Source organism: Homo sapiens, chromosome 9, assembly GCF_000001405.40.
Source record: "Homo sapiens chromosome 9, GRCh38.p14 Primary Assembly".
NCBI lineage: Eukaryota > Metazoa > Chordata > Mammalia > Primates > Hominidae > Homo > Homo sapiens.
This window is the reverse complement of record NC_000009.12, coordinates 80795660-80803739: the sequence shown is the minus strand read 5'-3', so window position 1 is coordinate 80803739 and position 8080 is coordinate 80795660. Positions and strand designations below refer to the sequence as shown.

At 37.2% G+C, this 8080-nt stretch overlaps 2 annotated features.

Annotated features, from left to right (window-relative positions):
* Positions 4683-5955: an enhancer, noted in NCBI's record as "VISTA enhancer hs974". NCBI's record gives its function as "enhancer in: other[4/7]" and the evidence as "EXISTENCE:transgenic organism evidence [ECO:0001131][PMID:17130149]".
* Positions 5021-5532: an enhancer, noted in NCBI's record as "NANOG hESC enhancer chr9:83413123-83413634 (GRCh37/hg19 assembly coordinates)". NCBI's record gives its function as "activates a minimal SCP1, AML or CMV promoter by ChIP-STARR-seq in naive H9 embryonic stem cells {active_cell/tissue: H9 hESC(naive)}" and the evidence as "EXISTENCE:reporter gene assay evidence [ECO:0000049][PMID:30033119]".

Below are 8080 nucleotides of genomic sequence, written 5' to 3'. Positions count from 1 at the left end.
AATCCTTTTAAGTTTTTGGAATTTTTAGTGCCCTTGGACCAAATTAAGAATGGCTCTATCCATTTTCCAGTGAATTATATTATATTAAGGAATATTATATATCATCTACATATAATGTAGATATTTAACTTATTGAATTGACTGTTTGAGCTCTTTAATCCTGAAGAAATAGTTTTTGTTTTACTGTGCTCCTTTCACATCCACTGTATGGACCTGATTCTACCTGTCTCTGTAGAGTAGCCAACAAGCAGTAGAAAGCTTCTACATCTTAGAGAAAACATAGTTAACCCATCAATCATAGTCTAATCACACCTTGTAATAATTTAAAGCAAGAGGAATTTAATTCAGGTAAATGGTGACAGAACTTGGAGTTATATAGGAGATGGCAAGAAAACCCAGAGATTAAACAAATAGGAAGCTGATACCACTCCTCATTGGAAGGGCAAAGAGAAGAGATAAGCTAAATAGGGGCTGCCTTGGGTCCAAGGATTCCAGGAATAATACGGAATTGTGGCAGGTTTTGCCATGTGGGTGATGAAATATGGAGAACACACAGCTGCATTCAAAGGCTGCTAGAGGCAGCCTTGAGGGAGAGATAGAATGTCTCATTTCCCGCATACGTTCTCCAGCCTTCCCTGGGGGTCACCCATTGGTTGAACTCAGGTGGAATCCAGGATTAGTAGGGCCCAGGATACGCAGCCTGCAGTAACTAACATGCCTATGAAACAGAGAGGCAAGGGTAAAGAAAGGGCATACAGTCCAGAGTTCAGCATGGCTAACCACAACCTGAAAACGCCACAGATTTTACCCAATTTCTGTACATATTGAGGTTGTGCAACATTAATTGGCCTGAGTTCTTTTCTTCAACTCTATATTCATCATTTGAATAAGTGAAACAAATGATTCTGATGCAGATAAAACTGTCTTTATGGGAACATTTACTTTGGAGTTTATATTTTGACATTTTTTAACTTAAAATTCATGAAGTGTATTTCTGTCTCCTTTCTATATTTAGTTAATTGTGGGATTTTGCAAGCTTTTTAGCATTTTGATAATATTAAAAAAGGGAGTTTTAAAATGATAAAAAACGTTGTCTAAATATGTATTCTATAATAATTTGATTATCAAAGTAATATAAGGTGCTTTTCAGTAATTTATTCTGTAAATGTAAAAATGTCACTAAATTGGAAGCATAATGTATGTTTTTGTGCTACTTATATGCCAATATCCTTTAAGCGATCACTTGACTCGAGTCTCCTGCTTTATATTGGTTTTCCATAGATGTGAGCACAGATCTAAAGTTTCCTGCCTCCATCTGTTCAGTGAGTATTATAATTTGATACACAGAAATAAGGTTTAAAAATTTTAACTAGTGGGTCTTTCTAGACTTTAAATGTTTGATCTTTAAATTTAGCTTTTATTCCAACAAACTGCTCTTTCGTGATCATAACATATTTTGGTACCATTGCATATTAGTATAACATATTGCTCCCCTCTAAATTTTTCCCAATCATTTCATTGGTTAATATAATGTAATATTTCTTATACTGTATCTGGAGAATTATCCTTGGGTATCCGTGACTTACTGATTCAGTATAAACAGATATATCACCTTATATTTTGACTGTAACAGTTGGCTTTGAGAACTCAAATAACCTTGGGGTCTATGTTATGACTTACAATGAATCTTTGAAGTTAAGATATATTTTACAGCCTCTCCTAGTCAATACATGGATATGATGATAAGGTCTACCCACAATATCTTGGAAACAAAACAACTGAAATATATTTAACCCTAATCCAGGTCCTCTTTCACTGATATCAGGATAGGATAGACTGTATTCTACAAGCTAAAATTTAAAGTTAAATTTTTAGATTGTAAAAATTTAAACAATATTAATACAAAAGGAGTGGTTAATATTATTTCCAGAAAAAAGGGGACATCCTGAAACCAAATTTAATGTGTCCACAATATTGTAAAATGAGAAGTCAATGATGACTAACAGATCCTCTCCATCCTGGTTGGCTTATGGTACATATTTAATTTATTAATATTCACCAGCAGGTTCCAACAATCATTCCTTGCTTTAATCACCTACTGCATTAGTCTGCTTGGCATCAAATTTGCAACAAAGATGAAAGATATATATGTAATTTCTCAGCTTACATTTTGCAATAACAAAATACCATAGACTGGGTAGCTTAAACCATAAAAATTTGTCACAGTTCTGGAGGCTGAAAGACCAAGATCAAGGTGCTGGCAAGATAGGTTTTATTCTGAGGCCTGTTATCTTGGCTTGTAGGTGACTGCCATCTCACTGTGTCCTCACATAATCTCTTTGGGAGTGTGGCATGGAGAGTGAGAACAAGCTTTCTGGTAACTCTTCTCATAAGGGCACTAATCCCATCATGAGGGCCCCACCACCCTTAGGACCTCATGTAGCTTTTTTTTTTTTTTAATTTGATTTAAGTTCTGAGATACGTGTGCAGAAATTATAGGTTTATTACATGGTAAAAGTATGTCATGGTGGTTTGCTGCACCTATCAACCCATCACCTAGGTATTAAGCCCCACATGCATTAGCTCTTTACCCTGATGTTCTCCCTCCCCTTGCTCAGACCTCATGTAATTGTAATGATCTCTCAAAATCTCCATCTGCAAGTCCCATGGCATTGGATATTATTGCCTCAACATATACATTTTGGAAGGACACAAATAGCCAGTTCATTATACCTGCTCAGTCACCTTCTGATTATTATTTAGGTTGAACCCTTGTCCAGATGAGAAGGAATCACAAATACAGGCTTTGATTTGAGACTGTAATGTATTAGGAGTTCAGAACAGTGGAGGACAAGGCAGGAAAAGCCCACAGCCTCAATATACAGAAGTAGGACAGGACATTATGGAGAATTCAAAATAACAAGCCAAGCAGGCCACCCAGTTGAGTCATCAATCTGAGTTGGATGGTCTGAGAAAGTAAGCCCAGGCAGGAGAGAGGTTATAGGGGCAGAACTGTGAAGAGTAAAAGTATCCAGAAGAAGGATGGTACCAGGAACCAGGAAAAATTCTCCAAAGCCTTATGAACAAAGCCACGGTCATTTTTATGGCAATGCAGAAGATGCTATGAGAGGGCCCATCTGACTTAGCCATATATTTGGCTTGCAACTTTGACTTTGCTACATGAAAAGAATGTTTTAGTTAAAATTTGATCTATGTGTCAATTCTATATTTTAAATAAACATATTAAATAAATTGACCTTGCATTTTTTACATGTAGTATCTTTCTTACTTGGATAATGTAAGTTCAGCTCCCTGAATACGAACAATTCTAGGTATACCCTTAGAAGTAGGGTTTTAAATAACAAAGCCAAGGGACAGAGTGTTAGTAGAGATCACACTGCAGGAGGTTCTCCCTGTTGCGACTACTCTTCCAAGATGTCATTTTCCATCAGCCAGGGGTAAAATTACAAAAAAAAAAAAAAAAAAATCCTCCAAATCACAATGACTTTAAGCAAAACAAAGATGCATTTCTTTCTTTCAATCACAGTCTAATTTTGTATCATTGGGAAAGATGACTCTGCTTCACTCTGTTACTCAGGGATCTAGGTTCACTTCCTCTAATGGCTATCTTCTAGAAACTTGGGTTATTTGCTGGATTTTCGGCATCGGATAAAAGAAGAGGAGGGTTATGCAGAAAGTATATGAATGTCAGGTCTTGACATGGAATACATTATTTCCACTCATATTCCATTGGCTAGAACTCAGTTGCATGGTCCCTGCAAGGGTGGTTGGGAAATGCAGTCTAGTGTGTCTAGGAGGCAAAGGCACCAGATAATGGTAAACACATATCTTATGATTGCTATATCTCTTTATCTGCTTATCTCTCTACAGCCTCTTCTCCACCAGTAGGAAAGTTGTAAAAAAGAAGATCTACAACAAAAGATACTCCAAATTATGCTTATGTTTTAATAAATATAATTTCTAAAAAAATTGATGAACAAAAATCTGGACAGTGGTCACAAAGTCAGTTTCAAATGGTTTTGAGCATATCTGTGAACACACCATATGTTCCAAAAACAATTAGTCATTGTTCAATATGAATAGACAGAATTGTAGCCAATAAATTTAAAATAAATTCTTGAATATACTTAGCATTAGAAGATTTGATATTATTTGAAAGCTCTGGTTACAGTTCTTTATGGCTGTTTATTTGTCACGAGAAGCATTAAGTTTTCGCCTAAATCCATATTTCAATAGAGTATTTATGCACTTGGTTCAAGAAAGAACTTGCCAGTGGCCTTCTGAGAGACAGCCTTGGCACTAGCAACTTTGAATAATACATCAGGGAAAAAGCTTTCAAACAAATTCTTTAGGTTAAAAGTAAGCTGTAGCCATAACTAATATGCGATGACTTTTACTTTATATCAGAGGGAAGAAATAGCCTCTTATTTAGTTAATTCTAGAACTACACTCTCTAGGACAATGACAATTAGCCACATGTAAGTATTTAATTAAAATTATATAAAATTAAAAATGTAGGTAGTTACTCTGGCCACATGTCAAGTGCTCAGTAGCCTTAAGTAGCTCGTGGCTATCATATTGAAGACAGAAGACATAGGGCATTTCCATCAACGTTGCTCCTGGGTAGCAGTGATCTAGAAGTTTGCTGACCCATAGCCATGCGAGAGGGAGAAACAGAGACAAAGAACTCTGGATCAGGATGTCTGTTACTTATTCCTTTTTTTCTTTGTGCACAAATATGAATGTGTTCGGTACATTTTAAAAAATCAAGCTTAAACAACTGGGTGTTTGCTTTGATGCCTAAGGAAGGGCAGCTAGCTCATTGGGGACTTTTATTTATTGCTTTTGTGCTAGCAAACAGACTACTAAAACAATTGAAAAGAAAGCCATTCTGTTTGGTGTGAATGGGCATAATAAATTAAATACAATGCAATTTAACCTATGATACTTAAGTAACAAAATATATCTGTATACATTTTAAAATATGAAAGCCAAATAGGCTACTAAAGTTTCTTTCTCTCTCTCTCCTCTCCTTTCCATACACTCTCCCACATCCTTCTATTTTTTTCTGGTTCCTGGAACATTCTGTTTTTTTTACAAGCTAACAAGTTTGATGTGGCTCTGTGTCTTATTCCCTTCCAGGCTTGCAGCTGTTTTGGCAACAGAAGAAAAAATCCCCATAACAAATCAAATAAAAGCCCTTTATGTGAAGAGGAATTGAAAACAGCAGGCCTCAAAGAGGACTGCACATGAGATGCCTTGTTCTGGCTTTCAACACAACTCAAATCAGAAACACATTACCATAATCTGAAACAGCCCACTGCTAACACAAGACAGATGGTGGGTAATAACCCATGCATCATTAATAAATAAATTCCAGCATTAAAGGCTTTACAAAGTATGACAACATTATCTGGGCACAATTACTGCCCCTCTCCCACCCCCAACATCATTTCAGTGTGTTATGGGATATGCTAGGTTTATTTTTTTTTTTTTTTCCCCTCCAACTCCATGGATCTGAAGGAAGTTTAAATACGACACAAGTTTTAACCAGATGAAACCTATCTCAGTGTACAAGACAGGTCTGAAACTCCATAAGGGAAAAATAAAATAGCTGCCAAAGTTTAATAGCTCACATGTTCTGGTGTTGGATCAGCCCACAGCAATTTATTGCACTGCCCTCCATGCGCTGGCCTCACCCTTTCTGGTACGCCTCTGTGCCTGTATTGCAGTATACACTCCAAGCAAGAATCTTGGCATCACATTTGCCACAAAGCTGAAAGATATATGAGTAACTTCTCAGCTTTCCTTTTGCAAACGATACCATCTGTCTCTTTTCCCCCAGCTCCCCCCACCAAGGGGGGAAGAAAAAACAGCCTCTGATTAAATTGAAAAAAGGAGAGAGAGAGAGCATTTTAACTCCATAAATGTTGGAAATTTAAAAAAATTATTTTGTTTTGTTTTAATTTGTTTGTTCAATGGGATAATGTTATTCCAACAGAATGTGAGGAGTATAAGAATGCAGCAATGTGACACAGAACTGTGCAGACCTCTTTGGGTGATGTTGTCTGGAATTCCCCAGGGTAGCAGCGTTCCTGCAAAGCCTAAGTGCCTACTTCCTATGCGTGCCATCCTAAGCCAAAAGTCAAGCATGGTCCTGGCCATCAGTTCTGGAAAAATACAGGCCTTAGGAGAGCAAATATTATATTAGATTCATCCTATATAAATTACATATTCCTCCTCAAAAGTGGGTAATATAAGCATTTTTGTCAAACAGACCAGCATCATGTTTTTAATGAAAGAGATAAACTATTTTACATTAACTCACTTGACAGGTGAAGAGCTAGGAACAGAGAAAATAATACATGCTAACCAGGCTAATCCAAGATTACTAGAAGGCCAAGGGAAAGTATCTCCGTGGCATCATCCATTGACCCAAGTGGTCAGTCATGTGGATGTGATTTATAGTCCGTGAGTACAGAGTTGCTTCTCCTGATCCAGGCCCTGTGGGGGTGGGGGAAAAGAAAGAAATCCCTCTCTGGAACAGCTGTCCCTTTTCTTTCAGCACACAGAGAATTTTCCTTCCACTTAGACTCATGTGAAGGCTGATCAGCAAGACTTTTCTAATTAGCATCTAAACCCTTTGCCTCTATGTCCTCTTCTTTCCCAAACTTAAATCAATATTTTTTATGTGTACATATGTATCTACTTTCTCTTAATTCACTGTGTGTTTATCTTATTTCCTCCATTAAACTGTGAGATTCCTGAGGGTAAATACTATGTCTAATCTATGCCCTAAATTCCCCTTAGCACCCAGTACAGAACACCACACTCAGGCTAAATGAAATGACAACTCAGAGACAGACGCCAAGGCCCCTGGCAGCGCAGACTCGGATGGAGTCTATGAGTTCCAGGTGAGTCTGTTCCAAGGCAGTTTTTCTTTGAGCTCTCTCCAACTTTCTCTGGGAACAGCTGCTGAGGGACGGTCAGAAGAAGGTGAGTTAAGCTTTAATTGGTTCCTGAGGTACGCAATTTCCTCTATGATCTTAACGTGATGAAGGGAAATTTAAATGGACTCGCATATTGAATCGATAGACAGAGAATAGAGCAAAAAATCATACTGATCAAGGAACTTTCTACAAACAGCACATTCTGTAAAAGTAAGGATTATTTTCAAAATGTCTTGGTGTATTTCCAACTCTATAATTTCTGGATTCACATTTGATAGTCTCCATCTTCTATCTTGTGGTAATTCCCAAGCAGGACAATTTACTAAGCTATTATTTTTTCATCATCATCATCCAGGTCAAATAAGTGACCAATACACTTCTTATTTTGCCCATTTTGAAGCACAGGCTATGGTTTTAAGTTGGTTAACTATATTTAACCTCTGTTCTCTGAAGTTTTAAGGCCAAAAATCAAATTCCATGACTACAAACATTAAAACTGTGAAAAACAGTATGTAATTGCACATTCATGCTGTAGTTTAGATTGTTATTTTTACTTTTACATGTAGCAAAGAGCAAAATATAGCATGAAACATATGAAGGACGAGTTACTTTTTTTTGATAGTCAAGAAAGTCTTTGTCTAGGAAATTAAGAGGTGATGTGTTCATTAACGAATGAATATTTTTGTGTGTCAGGACTTGCACCAGGGATTTAGGTTAATGTGATGAGCAGACCTTAAAGTAATGGAGCAGAAGAAATAAATCAGAACAGTGGGCTGGCTGAACAAAGGGGGTATTTCCACGTAGACGACTATGATGAGGAAGCAAAGGGTAGATAGACATTCTTGTGAGACCAGGTAGAGGGTAGATAGACATTCTTGTGAGACAGGTAGAGGGCCCAGGAACACAGAACAGTTTTCTACAGACCTGTACTAGTTGAATGGAGGGAATACACACTTAGCACACTGTATCCCTAGACATGGACAGAGTTGGGGTTTGCCACCTCTTTGAGGTATTTCCAGCCCAGTATTAGTAGCTATTCCTCTTCATTTTTCTGTATGTCTGCCGTTAGAGCATATGGTTCAGTTTAACAAATACTTGTGAAGTTTCTA